We start from the raw sequence: 22705 nt of genomic DNA on the forward strand, positions 1-22705 counted from the left end.
GAGTCAATGTTGCCAACACCTTGATCTTGGACTTTGAGCCTCCAGAACTAAGAGTTGTGCAAGCCCCCAAGTTTGTGGTACTTTGTTAGGTACTAGCAAACCCATACACTGTGATAGGAGAAGGAAGCCTTGTGTGAGTTTGATACTGACTGGGAGGTTAGGAAGGCTTCCTAGAGGAGGAGAAGCTGAGCTGGGGGTTTCAAGGATGGGTAGTTTATCAGGCAAGAACATTCCAGGCAGAGTGAAGAACACACGCAAACCCCAGGAGGCACAGTGTACATCAGAGACTCTTCCTTGAACTTTTCTTTCCTTTTTTTTTTTGAGACAGAGTCTTGCTCTGTCACCCAGGCTGGAGTGCATTGGCATGATCTTGGCTCACTGCAACCTCTGCCTCCCAGGTTCAAGTGATTCTCCTGCCTCAGCCTCCTGAGTAGCTGGGACTACAGGCGTGCGCCACTGTGCCCAGCTAATTTTTGTATTTTTAGTGGAGATGGGGTTTCGCCATGGTCACCAGGCTGGTCTCGAACTCCTGACCTCAAGTGATCCACCCGTCTCAGCCTCCCAAAGTACTGGGATTACAGGCGTGAGCCACCGTGCCCTGCTTTTTTCTTTTTTTTGAGATGGAGTCTTACTCTGCTGCCCAGGCTGGAGTACAGTGGCGCAATCTCAGCTCCTGCAATCTCCGCCTCTCAGGTTCAAGCGATTCTTCTGCCTCAGCCTCCCAAATAGCTACGATTACAGGTGTGCTCCATCATGCCTGGCTAATTTTTGTATTTTCAGTAGAGCTGGGGTTTCACCACATTGGTCAGGCTGGTCTCAAACTCCTGACCTCAGGTGATCCACCTGCCTCAGCCTCCCAAAGTGCTGGGATTGCATGCATGAGTCACCGCACCTGGCCCTCCTTGAACCTTTCTTTGATTTTCCCTACTGCCTGCCCTGCCCAAACATCTGAGACCTGGAAACTCCCTTGCTCGAAGATAACAGAAAAATTATTTTTACCAGGAGGCCTCTTGGACCCAGGTGGTGATGTGCATCATTCTCACCAGCAGGGGGTGCTCACACACTTGTAGGTGAAGGAAGGGTGGCTGGGGGCACAGGTACTGAGCAACCTTCTGGCATTTGTCAGGGTCCAAGACCCCTGCTCTCAGGGACAGATGCGCCCAGCCCTGGAGAAGCTAGGGTGGACAGCCCTGTGCCGGCCTCAAAGGACACACAGCACCTTGGGAGGACAGACACCCAGACACATGGCCCTCCGTACAAGTATTTTATTTCCATTACAATAGTGCCACGCCAAAACTACAGTAGCTCAAAACATAATACAAAAAATAGATTCCCAGCTCCCAACCCCACGTCCACGCACCCACAGAGAAGCCAGCCCTATGGCTCCCCAGGCCTAAGGGGAGGGGTCTCACTTCATTTTCCTTAAAGCTCTGGAGCGGGTAGTGGCAGTGGCAGGGGCTTCCACCCCTGCTGGGCCTGAGCCCTCTTCTTCCCCAACCCCCTGCCGGCCCCGGCAGACCTGAGCCATGAGTGTGGTCTCCATTCCCTCGGGCTGCACCCCCAGCCCTAGGACACCTGCCTGTGTCCAGGGAGGGGGTCCAAGCCCATGGTGCTGGTGCTGACACTACAGGACCACCACCCTCCACGCGGAAGGCAGGAGGGTCGGGGGAGGGGAGGCAGAGGGGACACCATGGCTGGGAGAAGCCCGCCTCTATGTGGCAAGGGGACTGCGGCTGGCTTCTGCTTCAGCTACTTCTCGGGTTCCTGTCTCCTCTGCAGAGCTACCAGGACTGCTGCGTGCTGGGACCAGGACCTCCATCTGGAATCCACTCTCGATACCCTGCACCAGCTTGGAGGCAGATCCCAAGGTGGCAGGGGTGTCCCTGTGCCGTCTGCTTCCTCTCGGGCAGGAGGATTCCAGCTTCCCGGGTGAGGGGAGAGCACTGTCCAGGCAGGGCTGGGCCAGGAGGCCTGGGCTGCTGAGGCGGGAAAGCGGTGGCTGTGGAGGGCACGTGCTGCCCCCACCTCCGTCTCGGGGCCTGGCTTCCCCACTGGATGGCAGAGGCCGCTCCAGGTGCTTCCACTTGGTGGCGCCCATGAGTCTGCTACTGGAGAAGCTGTGGTCTCAGGGAGGAGACAGACACCACAGGCCAGACTGGGTGGAGGAATCTTCCCCTCACAATGTCCCCTGGCTAAAAGCATCCATCTAGCTGCAAGTACTATCTTGATTCAACCCAGGGGCCGACAATGGACTGCAGCCCAGGGTAAGTCCAGCAGTTTTGCAGTCTTCCGATGCCCTGTGCCATGGACCTGCCGGCCAGAGCTCCTGGGCTCCCGTGGAGGTTAGCCCTGCAGGCACCGGGGAAATGGGGCTATGGCCTGTGCTTCAGTCAGGACACCTGGGGGCTGCACTGCGGAGGCCAAGGGCATCTAGGAGCAGGGGCTGTCTCCTTGGGGTGGAGACTGGCGGCTGCAGCCTCAGATAAGGCACTAGAGGACTGGACTGGTCCTGGGAGCCAGGCCCAGCCATGTGGTGGATGACGGTGCTCAGAGAGAGGATTTGGGTCCTGCGGGAGGTGACAGCTGTTTCTCTTTTCTTTTTTTTGGGACGGAGTCTCCCTCTGTCACCCAGGCTGGAGTGCAGTGGCGCAATCTCAGCTCACTGCAACCTCTGCCTCCTGAGCTCAAGAGATTCTCTTGCCTCAGCCTCCCGAGTAACTGGGATTACAGGTGCCCACCACCACTCCCGGCTAATTTTTGTAATTTTTTTTAGTAGAGATGGGGTTTCACCACGTTGGCCAGGCTGGTCTCAAACTCCTGACCTCAGGTGATCCGCCCACCTCAACCTCCCAAAGTGCTGGGATTACAGGAGTGAGCCACCGGGCCCAGCCTGTTTTCTCTTTTCTCCTTTCCCTGGGGAAGAGGGTTGGCCGGACAGACCCTGGTGTGGCTGGGATGGGGGACTGCTGCAGAGAGGTAACGGGCCCCTGAGATAGACATGGGACAGCCCGAAAAGGTGGGACTGAGAGGGGACACTTGTGGCCAGCAGTGTATCTCTGACACAGTCTCACCCCGCAGGGCTCCTGCAGTCTCGATTCAGGGTGCTTGGTGTTCCCAGATGGTGTTTGAGGGTCCTGACCCGACCTCATTCTGCTATAGCCATCAGTCCCCTGCTGTGGCTTTGGGGATCAGAACTTCCCAGCTAGGGCTCCCACTGTTGGACTCAGGGGACGGAGGCAGGCTAGCTGAAGGGGCAGTGCCCATGAGCTGGGCCCCCCGCAGAGCAGGCTCCTCTCTCTGCCTGGCCTCCACACCTCTACTGGTCTCCACGCCCTTGCATGAGGTGACAGGAGCTGAAATCACACATCCCAGGGGCTGAGGCAGCTGTCTGATTTGGAGACTTGCTCTGTGGCCCAGGGATCCGTGCCTCAGCCCAGCCTCACAGGGAGTGGGGAAGAGAGGGAGTAAATCAGTGGGGCTTCCCTTGTCCACAGGTTATTTAGAAAAACAGAACATAATAAATATACCAATTCTTTCCTTAAAAAAAAAAGTGTTTAAATGTGTTTTTCCCTGAAGATTTCCAGTGTATTCCACAGTGTTTAAAAAATAGTTTCCCCAAAAATATATCTTGAAAGCATTTGACACAGTGGTATTTGTGGCGTATCTGGCGCTTGTCAGTGTGGGGCCCAGGCCTGATGAGCCACCAGCCCAGCACCCGAATGCCTGCTGAAGGTGGCGCACACGTGTGCCTGGGATGTCCGGCTCTTCACAGGGGATCAGACTGCGGGTCACGTTGAGAGCCAACACCATGGGCTCGGTTCCGGCTGAAAACCCGCCAGTGTGAGGAAGCAGGGCCCCGGGTGGCCAAGCGGGCTGAGCAATGCCCTGGAGGCTGGATGGGGGTCTCGTCCTCAGCCCCTTCCCCTCCTCCGTCTTGGCTCTCTCCGCTTCGTCCTTACCAGACTTCGCACTTGTGAGGCGGGTTCATGGGTGAGCCAGGTGGGCAGCGGAAGTGTTCTGAGAACTCCTTGGAATTGGAGAGGGAGCCGATGACCCGGAAGCGAGAGGGGCTGTGGGGATCGGTGATGAGGCCTTCGTGGGAGCTCTCAGGTGTGCGGACGGAGCACCAGACCTTTGAAGGGGCAACAGGGAGAGGCCAGGGTCACTGTGGGGCCCTCGGGCTGCCAGACTGCCCCCATTATAACAGCAGGGGAGGCCAGGTGCGGTGGCTCACACCTGTAATCCCAGCACTTTGGGAGCCAAGGTGGAAGGGCTGCTTGAGCCCAGGAGTTCATGACCAGCTTGGGCAACATGGCAAGACCCCATCTCTACAAAAAATTAAAAAAAAAATTAACCAGGGATGGTGGTGTACACCTATGGTCCCAGCTCCTGGGGAGGCTGAGGTGGGAGGATCACTGGAGCTGGAGAAGTCAAGGCTGCAGTGAGCTGTGATTGTGCCACTGCATTCCAGCCTCGGTGATAGAGTGAGATCCTGTCTCAAAAAGCAAAACAAGGTTGGGTGTGGTGGCTCATACCTGTAATCCCAGCACTTTAAGAGGCCAAGGTGGCGGTGGATCACTTGAGGCCAGGAGTTCGAGACCGGCCTGACAAACATGGTGAAACCCTGTCTCTACTAAAAATACAAAAATTAGATGGGCGTGGTGGTGCGTGCCTATATCCCAGCTACATGAGAGGATGAGGCAGGAGAATCACTTGAACCCGGGAGGTTGAGGTTGCAGTGAGCCAAGATCACACCATTGCACTCCAGGCCGGGTGACTGAGGGAGACTCCGGCTCCAAAAAAACAAAACCCAGAAAATACAACACCAGGGAGATAAGCCCCCCACCTGATCCTGAGATCCCGGGGAGTCAGGAGGGTCCCCTGAGCGGGTCAGGAAGAGACAGTGGGCTGGTGTAGGGCTGGTGTGCCACCCCCCATGCCAGCAGCCTCTAACGCAGTTGTCTCCAAACTGTTCTCCTTCAGCCAGCGCAGCATCTCTGAGGCAACTGCATTCGATTCCATCTGAACAAAGGACTGTGTCCAAACACCAGTTGGAAAAGCTTGGATTTAGTCCAGATCTCTCATTTCCTGGGCAGAACAAATTGTCTAATGGCCTGGTAGCTCTGAGTGCCAGCAGAAGGCTACCAGATGAATGCCGACTGAAGGGATGATCTGGGATGATCACAGCAAGACAGAATCTTGCTATGTTGCCCGGGCTGGAGTGCAGTGGCGTGATCTTGGTTCACTGCAACCTCTGCCTCCCAGGTTCAAGTGATTCTCATGCCTCAGCCTCCCAAGAAGCTGGGACTACAGGCAGCCACCACCATGCCTGACTTTTTTTTTGTATTTTTTCATAGAGACAGGGTTTCACTATGTGGACTAGGCTGGTCTCAAACTCCTGACCTCAGGTGATCCACTTGCCTCGGCCGCCCAAAGTGCTGGGATTATAGGCGTGGGCTGCTGTGCCTGGCTGGTCATCTTAAGTTTAAGAAACCTCTAGAACCCTAGAACCAGAAGGGCCCTGGGTGATCACCTCGTCTTCTCATTCACCAGATCCAGGAATCCCTTCACTGGTACTTTGGGCCCTTCCGTGCATCTCTCTAATGACAGGGCACATGTGCTGTGCACAGTCCAGTGACTTGGGAAGTTCTCAATCTGTGGGGAACTTGCCTTTCGGCTCTCTGGGCTCTTGAAACATCAAGATGGCAGAATGTACCATGTGTGGCATGTTTTCCTAATGGACTCACCTGTGCAAAGCCCAGGAAGAAGAGCTGGTTATTGGTGAGGCCCAGGGTGGGGAGCGAGTGCTCAGCCCCGTTCTTCTTCACCCAGTTCTGGTAAGCCTGGGAGGAGAGAAAACCAAAGCTCAGGGGTTCCCATGGCAGGTGGTGAAGGAGGGGACTGGTATGGAGGTCTCAGGGAGCTCCCCCGTGTTGGGGCAAGGACTAGTTTCTGGGGATCTGGGCCTGGGCTCAGCCTAGGGGAGCCCTCTTCTTGATGTGCACTCGTTTAGCCCTATGGCTTAAAATACCTTCTACGCACTGATGGCTCTCACATTTACACCTTCTGCTCCAGCCTCTTCCCTGATGTGTATATTCAACTGTGCCAGCTGGACAGCCAAGATGCATCTCAAACTTAACATGGTATAAACAGAGCCACATCGTGTGTGTGCATGCACACACACACACATACACACAACTTTTCCCATCATAGTCAATGGTACCACCATCCATCATCCCAGGCCCCAAACCCAGAACGCTTCTTCAATTCTTCTCTTTCTCTCAGATCAAACACTGACCACTGCTCCGCTCCCCCTTCCCATTGCTCTACCCTGTCTCTTGCCTGGACAACCTCACAACAGCTTTCTAATCAGTCTTCTGACTCAGGCTGATTCAATTCCATTCCCCTCCTGGCAAAGCAACTTCAGTGAACCTTAGGAAGCAGGTGCTGGCAAACCTTTTCTGTGGATGGCCAGAGAGTGAGCACATTGGGATTTGTGGGCTAATGGTCACCGCTGCAATGACTCAATTCTGCTATTGCAGCATGAAAGCAGCCACATGGCCGGGTGCGATGACTGACACCTGTAATCCCAGCACTTTGGAAGGCCCAGGCAGGTGGATCACCTGAGGTTAGGAGTTTGAGACCAGCCTGGCCAACATGGTGAAACCCCATCTCTACTAAAAATACAAAAATTAGCCGAGGTGCGGTGGCACATGACTGTAATCCCAGCTACTCAGGAGGCTGAGGCAGGAGAATCACTTGAACCAGGAAGGCAGAGGTTGCAGTGAGCCGAGATTGCGCCACTGCACTCCAGCCTGGGTGACAGAGTGAGACCCTGTCTCAAAAAAAAAAAAAAAAAAAAAAAAGCCACAGACATGGAAACAAATGGAGCCAGCTGCAACGCCAAGAAACTTCATTTACAAAAACAGCCTCACAGCTAGATTCGGCCCATGGGCTGTAGGTGTGCTGACTCGTTTTTGTTTTTGTTTTTTTTGGAGACAGGGTCTTACTGTCACCCAGGCTGGAGTGCACTGGCACAATCTTGGCTCTCTGCAACCTCCACCTCCTAGGCTCAAGCGATCCTCCCACCTCAGCCTCCTGAGTAACTGGAACCACAGATGCACGCCACCATGCCCAGCTAATTTTTTTGTATTTTTGGTAGAGACGGGGTTTCACCACGTTGCCCAGGCTGGTCTTGAAGTCGAGCTTGTGATCCACCTACCCTGGCCTCCCAAAGTGCTGGGATTACAAGCATGAGCCACGGCACCCAGAGGACTCTTGTTTTATTTTTATTTATTTATTTTTTTGAAACAGAGTCTCGCTCTGTCACCCAGACTGGAGTGCAGTGGCACAATCTTGGCTCACTGCAACCTCTGCCTCCTGGGTTTAAAAGATTCTCATGCCTCAGCCTCCCAAGTAGCTAGGATTACAGGCATGCGTCACCACACTTGGCTATTTTTTATATATAAATATGTACATATTTCTGAGATGGAGCCTTGCTCTGTTGCCCAGGCTGGAGTGCAGTGGCGCGAACTTGGCTCATTGCAACCTCCACCTTCCGGGTTCAAGCAATTCCCTGCCTCGGCCTCCCGAGTAGCTGGGATTACTGGCGCCTGCCACCACGCCTGGCTAATCTTTGTATTTTTAGTAGAGACGGGGTTTCACTATCTTGGGCAGGCTGGTCTTGAACTCCTGACATCGTGATCCACCCACCAAGGCCTCCCAAGGTGCTGGGATTACAGGCATGAGCCACCGTGCCCAGCCATTTTTATATTTTTAGTAGAGATGAGGTTTCACCATGTTGGCCAAGCTGGACTTGAACTCCTGGCCTCAAATGATCCGCCCACCTCGGCCTCCCAAAGTGCTGGGATTATAGGCATGAGCCACTGCGCCCGGCTGACCCCTGTTTTAAAGGGTAGGTTGAATCATGTCATTCCTCTATTTTAAAACCCTATATTGTGTCTCTCTATCATAACCAGGACAAAACCAAAGGTCCTTCCTTAGCCGCAGCCGACAGAAGCCTGGAGTGGTCTGGTCCCCGCATTCCCTACACTCTGCCCTGCCCTTCTTCCCATCCTTGGACGTGCCAGGCTTGTGTCTAGTTCGTGGCCTCTGCACTTGCTCTTCCTCTTGCTGAGACCATTTTCCCCAGCTTTTCCCAGGCTCTTCCTCATCATTTAGGTCTCTATGCAAATGTCATAACCCCAGAGAAGGCCTGCCGTGGCCAGCGTCCTCCCCATTATTCCTTTTACCCCCCGTTATTCCTCATTACTTCGCCCCAGTTTATATTCGTCACCTTTTCAATAGCTGACATTATCTTACAGATTTATGATGTATTTATTTGCCTTTCTTCCCCTTCCAGCCTCCACTAAGAGTATAAGCTTTTAGAGAGCAGGATGAGCTTCAAACACAGCCCCTGCTAGGTAGATTCTCAATACCTTTCATTGACTCGTGGACTTTAAGCAACCTATCCAAGGTTTCTGGGCTCAGTGTGCTTATCTGCAAAACGGGGATTATAATACCTAATTGTAAAGCTGCTGGGAATACTCCAAGCCTGGCACTTAAGAAGGCCTCAATAAATGACAGCTCTATGGATTTCTGCTCTTACTGCCGTGGTTGGGAGGAAGCCCTGTCTTAATCTCTCTGACAGACACCTACTGTTTTTCTCTCGTGGCCTCTGTTACTAACTCTCCCATCTGACTCCGCGAGCATCTCTGAGTGTCTCTCTGGGTCAGCCCGTGTCTAAATCATCTTGTTTTATCTTCCCAACAACCCAATAATGCAGGTAGTAGCTAATCAGAGCCAAGTCAAGTGAGGCTCAAGGAGGTTCTGTGACTTACTCCAGAACCGGGACTTGAACCCAGAACTGGCTCCACGACCAGTGCTCCTTGCCCTGGCTGCTTAGTCCTCAGGGGCCTCCCAGACCCACAGCTGGCTGACTTGGTGGTAGCTTCCCCTGCAGAGATGAGAACAGGCAGGCTCTTCAGGCGGATGAAGCCCGAGCCCCTTCCTGTGTCTTTGTCAGGCCAGACTCAGAGCACAAAGCCTTCTGGTGCCAAGCCCTGTGGTGGGGGAGCCTCCACGGTCGGCATCGCGATTGGTCCTCGCCACCCCCAATTTCGCAGAAGAGGAAACGGAAGCTCGCACGGCTGCTGCGCCTGCCCTGGTTGTCCGTGATGATCCTCTACGGACAGGCATCTGGAAGGAGCCAGCACTGGGACCGTGCGCGTGTGGGGAGCGGGGCTCTCACCCGATAGGCCGCCTTGAGACCCCCGTTGTCGGCGATGTTCTCCCCCAGGGTGTGCCGCCCGTTCACCGGCTCCCCGTTCACGCTGTAGTTGCTGTACTGCTCTACCATGCACTCGGTCTGACGCTTGAAGGCCTCCACGGATGAGTTCTTCCACCATGGCCGGAGGTTCCCGTCCTTGTCATACTCCCGTCCTGTGGGTCAGAGGGAGGCGTCATGTCAAGGGAGGGAGGGGCACAGCAGGGACCTGCTGCTCCTCCCTGCTCCTGGTGAGAAGCGGTTCATCCGTCCACCCCCGTCCTCCAGCCACCATGGGGAGACGAGGTCCCTGTGAGTGCCGAGGGACGTGGATGTGGTGGCCAGTCAGAGGCGGGAGAGGATGAAGGAGAGAAATCGGGAAAAGCTCCAGCGTGGCCCGAGGCTCAGTGGGGCTTGCTTTGTTTTCTTTCTTTTTTTTTTTTTTTTGAGACAGTCTCACTCTGCCACTCAGGCTGGAGTGCAGTGGCGCAATCTCAGCTCACTGCAACCTTTGCCTCCTGGGTTCAAGGAATTCTTGTGCTCAGCCTCTGGAGTAGCTGGGATTACAGGCACATGCCGCCATGCCTAGCTGATTTCTGTTTTTTTTTTTAGTAGAGATGGGGTCTCACCATGTTGGCCAGGCTGGTCTTGAACTCCTGACCTCAAGTGATCTGCCCACCTCAGCCTCCCAAAGTGCTGGGATTACAGGTGTGCGTCACCGTGCCTGGCTTATTTTCAACACTGGCTAAGGGCCCCTGACCCTGAGTAACAGATGCCTAGGAAGAGGCAGATGGAGCCAGCTGACCTAGGATCACAAGACAGGCCCAGGCCACCCAGGTCTCTGCTTCTTCCATCTCCGCCCGGGAGTGCCCAAGGAAGGAGGCAATGAGGAGGATTTTGGACATTAGTTGGAGAGGAGGGACTGATTCAACGCCCCCTGACTGCAGTTGGACTGGAGAAGTCTCTGGAGTGGTGGAGGAATGTCCACTCTCTGCTAAACCTAATAGGAACCCCAAGAGCGGGACAACTTCCACGAGCAGGGCACCTCACTACACACTTCACACAGTCCTCCCAATCACCACGGGAGGGTGGAACCATCACGCTCCTTTTACAGACAAGACATGGGGGCCTGGAGAAATGACAGCGCTTGCTAAACTTCATATAATCGGCAGGTGGCAGAGCAAGGATTTGAACCCAGATCCTTCTGCCTCCAAAGCTAAGACCCTTAGAAGTGAAGGATGCAGAAAGCAGAGGCAGTGGGGCCTGGAAGATGATTGGCCCAGTCTAAAGGGGACCAAGGAACCTGTACCAGGCAGTGGTGCAATCATAATCATAGTTCACTGTAGCCTCAAACTCATGGGCTCAAGTGAGCCTCCCACCTCAGCCTCCCAAGTAGCTAGGACTATTAAAATTTTGCCACCACACCTGGCTAAATTTTTACTTTCTTAGTAGATACAATTTTATTTTATTTTATTTTTTGAGATGGAGTCTCGCTCTGTCACCCAGGCTGGACTGCAGTGGCGCAATCTCAGCTCACTGCAACCTCCGCCTCCCAGATTCAAACGATTTTCCTGCCTCAGCCTCCTGAGTAGCTGGGATTACAGGCACCCGCCACCATGCCCGGGTAATTTTTTTATTTTTAGTAGACAGGGTTTCGCCATGTTGGCCAGGCTGATCTCGAACTCCTGACCTCAGGTGATCCACCAGCCTTGGCCTCTCACAGCGCTGGGATTACAGGCATAATCCATCATGCACAGCCTAATTTTTTTTTTAGTAGAGATGGAGGTCTTGCTATGTTGCCCAGGCTGGTCTCAAACTCCTGCCCTCAAGCAATCCTCCTCTTAAAGCACGGAGATTACAGGCATGAGCCATCGTGCCCAGCTGGAATTCGTACCTTGATCATCAAAAGCATGAGTCAGCTCATGGCCCACGACGACACCTATGCCACCAAAGTTTAAGGCCCTGGAGGGAAAGACACAAAGGTAGAGATGATGCTTTGAGAGGAGGGCCTCTCACTCTTGCTCAGGTATGTGACCCTCACTTCCTGGGCTTAGAGATATAGCAAAATTCCACAGGGCTCTGTGTGGATAAGGGTGTGGTCATGGCCTGAGTCTCCAGCAAGGCCCCTGAAGCCAGAGGGAGGCTGGGCACAGTCTGTGTGGTCAGCTGTGCCTATTGGGCACCATGCGCTGTGCTAGATGCTCTACAGACCTAACTGTCCTCTTCAGTCATTGCGAAAGCGTTAGCAATGGTCGCCATTGACCAGCTCTATTTATGAGTAGACCAAGGCTGGGAATGGGTCAATTGCTTTGCCCAAGGACCACACAATCATCCAATAGCAGACCTGGGATTCAAACTGAGACAGCAGCCTTAACCCTCCCCACTCCCCAGCTCTGACTGTGTTATAACATTGTCAGAGGGGCGTTTCCCTGAGGTAGGGCTCTTGATTCCATGAGATGCTCCCAATACCCCACTGTGCAGGGCTTCCAGATCTCACTGGAGGGAAGGAAAGTGGGTGAGGATGTTGCTTCCTCTGCAACATCTCTGACATCTGCAACCTGAAGCACTGGGGCAAAGATCACATGGTGAGACTGGCTTAGGTCGTATGGGCCCCAGGGCTGGGCTGGGGGAAAAGAATTGGGGTAGGGGCCCCAGAGGCAGCCTACTTGGGTGAGGAGCGTGTGTAGAATGGTGCCTGCAGGATCCCGGCCGGAAACACAATCTCATTCTTGGTGGGCGAGTAGTAGGCGTTCACCATGGGCGGGGTCATGCTCCACCTGCAAGCAACACACATGCAGGAGGTCTCAGCACAGGGCGGGAGGCAGGTGGGGACAGCCTGCCTGGAGCGCTGCTTGGGGATCGGGAATAAGGGCATTAAAAATGCAGACTCTCCTTGACCCCAGGCCCAAGTGCACACAAGTACAAGGACATCTACAGAAGGACTGTTTGTTTTGAGACAGGGTCTCGTTCTGTCGCCTAGGCTGGAGTGCAGTCGTGTGATCATGGCTGACTGCAGCCTCAACTTCTAAGCCTCAAGCCATCCTCCTGCCTCGGACTCCCAAAGTGCTGGAATTACAGGCGTGAGCCACTGTGCCTGGGTGCAGGACTGCTTTTTAGGAGAAAACTAGAAAACACCTGACTGTCTATAAATAAGGAATCAGTTAATTAATGATGTCATATCACACGGTGGAATACTGAGGTTCTTACAAAGAGCAGGAAGGGCCATTAGATTTTGAAATATCAGCACACAGTGGCTCATGCTTGTAATCCCAGGACTTTGGGAGGCTGAGGTGGGTGGATTACTTGAGGCCAGGAGTTCAAGACCAGCCTGGCCAACACGGCAAAACCCTGTCTCTACCAAAAATACAAAAAAAATTAGCCAGGCGTGGTGGCGCACACTTGTAATCCCAGCTACGTGGGTGGCTGAGGCACGAGAATTGCTTAAACCTGGGAGGTGGAGGTTGCAGTGAGCTGAGATTGAGCCACTGCACTCCAGCCTGGGTGACAGAGCAAGGCTATCTCAAAAAAAAAAGAAAAAAGAAAAGAAAAAGATTTTGAAAAGTCACCACTGAAGAGTATCTTTTTTTTTTTTTTTGAGACGGAGCTCACTCTGTCACCCAGGCTGGAGTGCAGTGGTGCGACTGCGGCTCACTGCAGCCTCCGCCCCCCGGGGTTCACGCCATTCTCCTGCCTCAGCCTCCCGTGTAGCTGGGACTACAGGCGCCCACCACCTTGCCCGGCTGATTTTTTGTATTTTTAGTAGAGATGGGGTTTCACCGTGTTAGCCAGGATGGTCTCGATCTCCTGACCTCGTGATCCGCCTGCCTCGGCCTCCCAAAGTGTTGGGATTACAGGCATGAGCCACTGCGCCGTCATAATGATTAATTTCATTACATCTCAACCCCTGAATACAAGACTTTTTTTTTTTTCTTTTTAAGCGACAAGATCTTGTTGTGACACCCAGGTTAGAGTGCGGTGGCATGATCATGGCTCCCTACAGCCTCAAACTCCTGGGCTCAAGCTATCCTCCCACCTCAGCCTCTCAAGTAGCTGGGACTACAAGCACTCGTGACCATGCCTGGCTAATTTTTTTTTTTTTAATGTTACAGAGGTGGAGTAACATTAAATCCACATATAAAGCATTCTGCTTCTTTCCTGGAACCCTGTTGGTACTTTTAGGATGACTGGTAAACTATGGAATTTCAGACGTGGACATCTGGCAGACATTTTCTTTAAAATGAATAAAGTGAGCTTATCACCTCAAGGAAAACAACTCAAGCCATCTGTTGCCAATGATAAAAATATGAGATTTAAAAAAATGTTGAAGTTTCAGGCTAAAATTAAAATTTTGAAAAACTTATATTGGCCACCACAAGTTTGACACCTTACCAATAATAATGGAAGGTTTTTCTCAAGAGGTCAGCAGTGATATTAACAAATGTGGATTTTTTTGCTATTGTATATTGGAAGTATAACCATTTGGAAGATCTGTAAGACTCAGTGAACCATTGTTTTCCAAATGACTAAGACATGATGTTACAAAATCACGCCTGGGTAAAAGATCCATTCAAAGTGCAGGACAGACCAATGGAATTTAGTGTAACAGAGTATGAAAGTTCATGAAGGCTGGGCATGGTGGCTCATGCCTGTAATCCTAGCACCTTGGGAGGCCGAGGTGGGAGGACTGCTTGAGCCCAAGAGTTTGAGACCAGCCTGGGCAAAAAAAAATTACAAAAATTCCGGCCCCGGTGACATGGTGAAACCTGTCTCTACAAAAAATACAAACATTAGCCAGGTGTGGTGGTGTGCACCTGTAGTCCCAGCTACTCAGGTGGCTGAGGTGGGAGGATCACCTGAGCCTGGGAAAGTTGAGGCTGCAGTGAGCTGAGATTATGCCACTGCACTCTGGCCTGGGTGATACAGTGAAAAAAAGAAAAAAGAAAAAAATAAAGTTCATGGATGTGGTTTCAGATTCCATAGTGCAATTAACCTTTAAAAAATTATCACTTTTCGAGTTTTGGTGTAGTATCAGAAGAACGTGCACAAGTACCAGAAAAGACTATTAAAATATCCCTCATCCCTCCCTTTCCCAACTAAATTCCTATGTGAGGCAAGAATTCTCTTTTTTTTGAAACAAAGTCTTGTTCTGTCACCCAGGCTGGAGGGCAATTGGGGTGCAGTGGCGTGATCTTGGCTCACTGCAACCTCTGCCTCCAGGGTTCAAGCAATTCTCTGCCTCAGCCACCTGAGTAGCTGGGATTACAAGCACCCGCCACCACGTCTGGCTAATTTTTTGTATTTTTAGTAGAGATGGGGTTTCACCATCTTGGCAATGCTTGTCTTGAACTCCTGACCTCGTGATCCACCCGCCTCAGCCTCCCAAAGTGCTGGGATTACAGGCGTGAGCCACCACGCCTGGCCAAGAATTCTTTCTATATATAAAAACAACATATGGTAACAGATTGACTGCAGAATCAGATATGAGAATCCAGTTGTCTTTGATTAAGCCAGACATAAAGAAATTTGCAAAAAGTAAAACGATACCTCTCTTCTCATTAATTTTTTGAAAATAGTTATTTTCCATAAAATTTAAAAAAAATCAGGGCCAGTGCAGTGGCAATGGCACCATCTTGGATCACCCGCAACGTCTGCTTCCCGGGTTCAAGCGATTCTCCTGCCTCAGCCTCCTGAGTAACTGGGATTACAGGCATGTGCCACCATGCCTGGCTAATTTTGTATGTTTAGTAGAGATGGGGTTTCTCCATGTTGGTCAGGCTGGTCTTGAACTCCCGACCTCAGGTGATCCACCCGCCTTGGCCTCCCAAAGTGCTGGGATTACAGACGTGAGCCACCGCGCCCAGCAATAATTTTTTTGAGTGTAGAAGGATCCCAAGACCAAAAAAGGTTTTGAAAGTAATGGTATATAGTCATGAGGTATTTGGCATTTCAATGACTTCTCTGGTACAGAGGGGAAGGGTGAGTGAGGAGTGCAGTGAGATGGGTACCACATTTCCTCTAAGAGCCTAGACAGTCACTCTGCCTCCTCCAGGTGAGCCCCACAGCCATGGGAACATACTGAGAACTTTATTTATTTTGAGATGGAGTCTCACTCTGTTGCCTAGGCTGGAGTGCAGTGGTGCAATCTCTGTTCACTGCAACCTCTGCCTCCCGGGTTCAAGCGATTCTCCTGCCTCAGGCTCCCAAGTAGCTGGGATTACAGGTGTCTACCACCATGCGTGGCTAATTTTTGTATATTTAGTAGAGACGGGATTTCACCATGTTGGCCAGATTGGTCTTGAACTCCTGACCTCAAGTGATCTACCCGCCTTGGCCTCCCAAAGTACTGGGATTACCGGTGTGAGCCCCCGTACCTGGCCAAGAACTCTATTTATGTATTTATTTATTTTAGAGACAGGGTCTTGCTCTGTAGCCCAGGCTGGAGTGCAGTGGTACAACTGTAGCTCACCGCAACCTCAACCTCCTGGGCTCAAGCGCATGCTACCACGTCCAGCTAATTTTTTAAATTTTTTGTAGAGATGGGGTTTCACCATGTTGCCCAGGCTGGTCTCAAACTTCTGAGCTCAAGAGATCCTCCCACCTTGGCCTCTCAAAGCGTTCGAATTACAGGCGTGGGCCGCTGTACCTGGCCATATGGAGGAATTTAAAACATCATATTTATATTCAAATAATCACAAATACTTCAATGGGTAGGCAAGGAAATTTAAATAAAAACATTCAAGCTAAGTTAAAATACTTCAGATAAACTGGCAACAGAGCCTATGCCATGTTCTGAAGGTAAAAGCCCACCTTCTTGTACATAGCGGGGTGTCCTGGTTGGAGGCTGGAAATGAAGGAAATAGAGATGTTTGAACCCCTATAGTCCACCAGGGGGCACCAGAGGCAAAGAGAAGTTGATTGCACCCTTCCCTAAGATTTATCCCAAATGTTTGCACTGAGGAATGGAAGGACCTTGGACTGAAGACTGGAACTGGGCTGACTACATCTAATTTTTTTGAGGAGACAGTTTTTTTTTTTCTTTCTTTCTTTTTTTTCAGGCAGGGTCTCGCTCTGTTGCCCAGGCTGGAGTACAGTGGCATGATCTTGACTCACTGCAGCTTCGACCTCCTGGGCTCTAGTGATCCTCCCACCTCTGCCTCCCCAGTAGCTGGGACTACAGGTTCGTGCCACCACGTCCAGCTAATTTTAAAAATTTTTTGTAGAGACCACATCTCCCTATGTCGCCCAACCTGGTCTTGAAGTCTTAGGCTCAAGCGATCTGCCCACCTCAGCCTGCAAAGTGCTGGGATTGCAGGCCTGAGCTACTGTGATTGACCTGAGGAGACAGTAATAAAAAGGACAAAGACCAGGTCTCATTCTAGGTTATCCTGATTTAAGGTCAGGAAGCTGTATTTTTTTTTTTTTTTTGAGATGGAGTCTTGCTCTGTCACCCAGACTGGAGTGCAGTGGCACGATCTCGGCTCACTGCAACCTCCGCCTCCCGGGTTCAAGCAATTCTCGTGCCTCAGCTACTCACTCCTGAGTAGCTGGGACTACAGGTGTGCGCCACCACACCCGGTTAATTTTTGTATTTTTAGTAGAGACAGGGTTTTGCCATGTTGACCATGGCTGGTCTCAAACTCCTGGGTTCAGGTGATCCACCTGTCTTGCCCTCCCAAAGTGCTGGGATTACAGGCGTGAGCCACCACGCCCGGCCAGGAAGCTGTATCTTTGAAAAAGTTCCCCAGAGGACTCTGATGTGCAGTGAGCTTTGGGAAGCACAGCTGTCAAGCCCATCCAGAACCTTCCCCAGGCCTCTGTGGGCTCCCTGTCCTGAGATCCCACCATTCGTGGTAGTGAGGAACAATGGGAAAGCTGCTCTTGCTGGGGCCTCCTTGGGGTCTGGCGCTCCCCAGAGGTCCTCACATTTGACTGCCATGAGGACCCCAGAACCAGCTCCTCCCATCCTATTCTGCGGAAAATGAAATGAAGGCTCCAAATCCCAAAGCAGTGGAGCGGAGACAAGGTGCCAGATCGGCTCCGCTCCAGAGGCCAGGCTCACCCTGCCAACAGGCTGGGCAGGCTCAAGCCCATCCCAGCTCCTAGCTGGGCCATACTTCTTTTGCCCTTGGTTTCTTCATCTGAAAAGTGGGATAACAAGGGCATCCACTCTTCAGACGGCTCTCGTGATAGCTGATCGGGTGCACAGTGAGGGTGCAATGAAGGCCAGTTCGTCCCAAGGCTTGCCCACAGGTGGGGAGCTGGCACCTTGCCGGCAGGGCCTGGGGGAACTCACTGATCTCTGTTGGGGGCTTTCCTGAGCTGATCGGCAGTGACCCTCCATGAGAAGTTGAAAAACCGCATGGCATTTTCAAAGTAGAGGTCTGGAACTGCAGTGTACTAGAAAAGAAGAAGTGGAGTCAATCACAGTGTGCCCTCGGTGGTGTGCATCTTCCAAGACAGGAAGCCAAGGGCTGTCATGGTTAAGAGATTAATCTGCAGGCTGGAGACCGGAATGCAGGGCTTGGGGCTGCAGGGTCAGCTCTTCTCTTGGCCTTCACCCTGGGGCACGAGATGGAATGACACCGTTGCAGGATGTGCCTACAGCAGTGCCTGGGCCCAGGCAAGAAATATCTCCCATGTTGTCCAATAGAACCTCCTGCGATGATGGATGTTCTGTGCTCTATGCCTGCGCTGTCCAGTATGGCAGACTACTAAGCATTTCTTTCTTTCTTTTTTTTTTGAGACGGGAATCTTGATCTATCATCCAGGCTGGAGTGCAATGGCACGATCTTGGCTCACTGCAACCTCCACCTCCTGGTTTAAGTGATTCTCGTGCCTCAGCCTCCCAGAGTAGCTGGGATTACAGGCGCATGCCACCAAGCCCAGCTAATTTTTGTATTTTTAGTAAAGACGGGGTTTCACCACATTGGCCAGGCTGGTTTCAAACTCCTGACCTCAGGTGATCAGCCCACCTTGGCATCCCAAAGTGCTGGGATTACAGGCGTGAGCCACCACGCCCGGCCACTAATAAGCATTTCAAATGTGGCAAGTGTGGCTTTTAAATTTAATTTAAACTAATTTAAGTTTTAATTATTTAAATAGCCACCTGTGGCTAGTAGCTACCATACTAGATCTCATAAGTAAAGTAGAAATCTATCTGAACTGTCAAGGGCATCACTGTACACCCTTTTCACTACTCGGCCCAGCTTTCTAGCTTTTTTTCTGCTTTTTTGAGACAGGGTCTTGCTCTGTCGCCCACGCTGGAGTGCAGTGGTGCAATCACAGCTTGCTGCAGCCTTGTCTTCTTGAGCATAAGTGATCTTCCCATCTCAGCCTCCCATGTAGCTGGGACTATAGGCACATGCCAACATGCCCAGCTAATCTTTACATTTTTTGTAGAGATGAGGTCTCACTATGTTGCCCGGGCTGGTCTTAAACTCCTGAGCTCAATCAATCCCCCCACCTCAGCCACCCAAAGTGTTGGCATTACAAGCATGAGCCACTGCGCCTGGCTCAGCTCTTGACAGGTGCAAAATTCTCCCTGGTTCTGGTGAAACGCTGGAGCCTCAGGGACAGGACATGGATCCTGGGCTCTGCCCAGGATGCCTCCAGAGGCCCAAGGATCTTGCGTCATGACACTCTGGAGCATCTTAAATGATTCTCAAGGAAAAGGCAGCAGAATGAGTCTCATGATCTCAGAATGAGTCTTTATAGTCTTAGGTTCTAAATATAACCATGACGAGAGGTTATTAGATTTTTAAATGCCTGAATTCAGGCTGGGCATGGTGGCTCATGAATATGAGCCAGCCTGGGAGGCGGAGGTTGCAGTGAGCTGAGATAGCACCACTACACTCCAGTCTGGGCAACAGAATGAGACCCTGTCTCAAAAAAAATTTTTTCTTAAATACCTGAATTCAAGTATTTCAATCACAAGAAGATATAAAACTTCATAATTTGAGGCAGAAGCACAATCCACCTAACTGAGTGATTTGCCAAAAGTTCTAATAAGCAGGGATGTATCAACCACCTCCATTGCCCAAACCAAGCTTAAAAATGCACCTGGATTTAAGCTGCTTCTTTCCCATTAGCATTTCAAAGTCAAAATCAGAGGTCCGGGTTTCTGGGGAGGTGGAGGAGGGCCGCAGGGACAGGAGGTAACTGGAAGCACGACCAGGGAGGGAGGAGGTGGTGTGGGGGTTTTCCCACTTCATACCCCACCCCTGATGTCTGAGGGCCACCAATTCTCTCTGCACCTTCTGGGGTCTGTTTCCTCCATTATTTCCCACATATTAAATGGAGCTGACCACTTCCAGGGGGCACACAGCACGGGTTCTGTACTGACTGGTGGGCACTGCTGATGGATGGTGGCTATGGGGAGGCAGGGCCTCCAGCTGACCCAGGAGCCAAATTAAGAAGAAGAAGAGGCTTCCTCATGCCTGACCCATACCCAAGCCCCACACCACATCATCCCTGTGTGTTTTGACAACCATGCTGCCTCTAGCACCCCATCTGGACCCAGCCCTGCCTCGGCCCTTTTCTAAGGGGGCATTTAGGAACGCAAGGGGGCAGGGCAGCAGCTACTCACGTCATTAAACACTTTGTCCAGCTCCTTGGGATCCATGATGAAGTTGGGGTATCCTATCATGTTGTAGATGGCATCGGCCTGGACAGGACAGACAGAGGAAGTGAGTGCCCGGCAACATCGACCAGGCCAGCCTGAGCAACTTGGGTGCTGGGCTCATAGTCTGGGCCAAGGGGAACCAGAGCCAGGCCCTGCCTGCCTTGGGCTTTCATGTCTTTTTCTGGAAAGGTTTCCCCCTTGCAAAACTTCTACTTATCCCTTAGGTCTCTGTTTAAATGTCACTTTCCCAAGGGAAGTCTTCCCTGACTCCCATCCCACTGGAGGGTGCCAGAGCCTTCCCGACCCACGGGACGTGCTGCGTTTTCCTGCACCTTTTCCCCGTACACTCAGCGAGGTTTGTCTTCTACAGACATCCAAGCAATCATGTGCTTGAGGCCTACCCCGAATCCTGCTAGGCCTAGACCGCTCACCCGCTGAAGGCGAGACAGCATCCAGGCTGTGCTGCCGGACAGAACTGGCCTCACCGGGCGCGGTGGCTTATGCCTATAATGCCAGCGCTTTGGCAGGCCAAGGCGGGTCGATCACCTGAGGTCGGGAGTTTGAGACCAACCTGACCCACATGGAGAAACCCCATCTCTACTAAAAATACAAAATTAACCGAGCGTGGTGGCGCACGCCTGTAATCCCAGCTGCTCGGGAGGCTGAGGTGGGAGAATCGCTTGAACCCGGGAGGCGGAGGTTGCGGTGAGCCAAGATCGCACCATAGCACTCCAGCCTGGGTAACAAGAACGAAACTCTGCCTCAAAAAACAAACAAAAAAACCGGCCTCTCCTTCCCCCACCCTCCTCTATCTGTGCTGGACGCCGCAGCACCCCCTCCAAGTGCCTGGCCAGCCTCACCTTTTCCTTGGCTGATTTTCGGGTTTCCTCATCCATCCACTTCAGGGTGCTCAGGCTTTCCTCAAATGCCTTCTTAATCTCCAGGATGATCTCGGTGGCCTGAGGAGATACACATCACAGCAGTAAGGTCTGCGCACTGGTCTCAGGTAAATGCAACAGGCACCCCGTGCAGAACAATGATGGCCAGAGATTAAACTCAATTTTCCAAGCGTCAGGCTGGGTGAGAAGGGGAGCCACAGCTGTGCTTCCAAACCACGCTCCTAACGTGAACACCCTGCAAGACAGGACTGGCCTTCCACACACAGGGCTCCATGCTCCAATAAGCTTAGGATGAGCTTCGGGAAAGTTGGAAAAGTCTCTGCTGTGGTACTTTTCAGAGCCTTTAATATGGTAATAATAGGCACCGTGATTCTTCCAGAGAGGGGAGAAGACACAGCCTCTCCCAGCCTTATTGCCTTATTGGACCACAGCATTCCTTTTTGATGGAGCGGGCTTTAAGATCTAGAGTACTCATGTTCCGAGGAGCAGCTTCGGAAATACCATGCTCAGGCTGGATATAGACAGGTGTTCTTGAGGGAGACAATGTCATGAGCAGACAAGCTCGAAGATGGAAAGTTGAAGGTTCTAGAGAAGGGGAAGGCAGAGCTGTGCGGCAACAAGAGCAGAGGGGCCAGCAGACCCCAACTCAGACCCTGCCCAGCTGCTCACAGGCCAGTCACTGTAATGGATTTGAATTGCGGTTGGCTCACCTCCGGCTGCAGATGACAGCTACATAATGAATACTATTTGTCATCAAGATTGTAACAATAAAATGACCACTCCCATTAGCTGAACCCTTATTGTATGCCGGTGCCCAGTGTGTGGCATCTCATTTAATCTCTCTCTGTGGGAGGAATGCCCCCGTCTCCACATTGCAGATGATGTAAGAACTGTCCCAGGCCACCCGACCAGCGGTGAGGCCAGGATCTGAGCTTAGGCCGGGCTGTCTCCAAGGCGCTCTGCCATGGCACTCCTCTGCCTGTCTAGAACAAACCTGTCACCCACAAAATAAGAAAAATGTCACCCTCTGGGCCAGAGCTGTTCTGCCAACATTCTCTCTGGGTCGTTCACAGCCCTTGGAGGTGGGGATGGCTGTCACAGCCTTGCAGGCTGCTGGGAGGATCACATGAGCTCGTGCAGATAAGGGCCTGGCACTGAAGAGCTGCCCTCGTGAGACTCCCATTACCCAGGGCTCGAGGAAGTGAAGCCTCTGCATTGAGGCTGTGGCCCTAAGGTCCCCTGCCCAGGAGCAGGAAAGGCCCAGGGTGGGCTGGAGTGTGAACTGGCAGGTCTGTGCAGGCCACAACAAGTGTGACCTCACAGCCTGTGTCCACGGGGAAGGCACTTACTATGCTCTTGCTGTCCTCGGCGAAGGTTGCTTTGACAAACATGGGGCCCAACGCAAAGCCCAGGTTGTTTTCTGTGTCACTCACGCAAAACTTCCAGCGAGGAAGACAGGTCTGGAAAACACAAGTCAGGGGGCTCGCTGGGCCCCAGCCCTTTGTTTCCCAACCCCTTTCTTGCTGGGAGGTAGCACCATGTGGGGCCCATGCTTTGTTCTGGAAGTTCAGGGAGAGCTTTCCGACCCAGTAAAGTTATTTTAGTCACCGGACCAAGAGGCCACTGATACCCTCACTCCCACCCCCTGCCATTTCCTGAATGCCAGGCTCTGTGCTGGGACTTCACAAATAGTGTCCCGTTGAGCCATTCAATGACCCTCGGGGCTTACAAGCCGTTTGACTGATGGGGAAACACACTCGGCACGGAGCAGCTGCTGGCCCAGGGTGCCCCACGAGTGACAAGTGTTGTTGGAATGAGAACTGAGACGTGCCTGACTCCACATCCTATGCTCCTACCTACCCCCATCTCGTCCTGCCTCCTGGGAAGAGCAGGAGTCCTGGAGGCAAAGAGCGGTGGAGA

At 52.2% G+C, this 22705-nt stretch overlaps 1 protein-coding gene across 8 annotated transcripts in view, besides 3 other annotated features; it reads right to left on the reverse strand.

Annotated features, from left to right (window-relative positions):
- The window catches only part of ECE1 (endothelin converting enzyme 1), a 128255-nt gene continuing 106800 nt past the window's right edge, over positions 1251-22705 (reverse strand). For all 8 annotated transcript variants that reach the window (NM_001113348.2, XM_011540873.3, XM_011540872.3 and 5 more), the window contains 9 exons: positions 22135-22245; positions 20747-20845; positions 19851-19928; positions 17559-17662; positions 11932-12042; positions 11160-11227; positions 9251-9441; positions 5748-5843; positions 1251-4132 (listed from right to left, as the gene is read on the reverse strand). In NM_001113348.2, the coding sequence (NP_001106819.1) occupies positions 3956-4132; positions 5748-5843; positions 9251-9441; positions 11160-11227; positions 11932-12042; positions 17559-17662; positions 19851-19928; positions 20747-20845; positions 22135-22245 (1035 nt within the window). In that variant the 3' untranslated portion in view covers positions 1251-3955. The remainder of the gene's footprint in view (positions 4133-5747; positions 5844-9250; positions 9442-11159; positions 11228-11931; positions 12043-17558; positions 17663-19850; positions 19929-20746; positions 20846-22134; positions 22246-22705) is intronic.
- Positions 2039-2244: a silencer, noted in NCBI's record as "fragment chr1:21544531-21544736 (GRCh37/hg19 assembly coordinates)". NCBI's record gives its function as "represses an EF-1alpha promoter that drives an FKBP-Casp9 reporter gene in an ReSE screen in both phorbol 12-myristate 13-acetate-treated (for megakaryocytic differentiation) and untreated K562 erythroleukemia cells {active_cell/tissue: K562 | K562(+PMA)}" and the evidence as "EXISTENCE:reporter gene assay evidence [ECO:0000049][PMID:32094911]".
- Positions 8644-8844: a silencer, noted in NCBI's record as "peak108 fragment used in MPRA reporter construct". NCBI's record gives its function as "represses an SCP1 promoter by STARR-seq MPRAs in K562 erythroleukemia cells {active_cell/tissue: K562}" and the evidence as "EXISTENCE:reporter gene assay evidence [ECO:0000049][PMID:32103011]".
- Positions 19827-20327: an enhancer, noted in NCBI's record as "H3K4me1 hESC enhancer chr1:21562319-21562819 (GRCh37/hg19 assembly coordinates)". NCBI's record gives its function as "activates a minimal SCP1, AML or CMV promoter by ChIP-STARR-seq in primed H9 embryonic stem cells {active_cell/tissue: H9 hESC(primed)}" and the evidence as "EXISTENCE:reporter gene assay evidence [ECO:0000049][PMID:30033119]".

Source organism: Homo sapiens, chromosome 1 (genome assembly GCF_000001405.40).
Source record: "Homo sapiens chromosome 1, GRCh38.p14 Primary Assembly".
Lineage (NCBI taxonomy): Eukaryota > Metazoa > Chordata > Mammalia > Primates > Hominidae > Homo > Homo sapiens.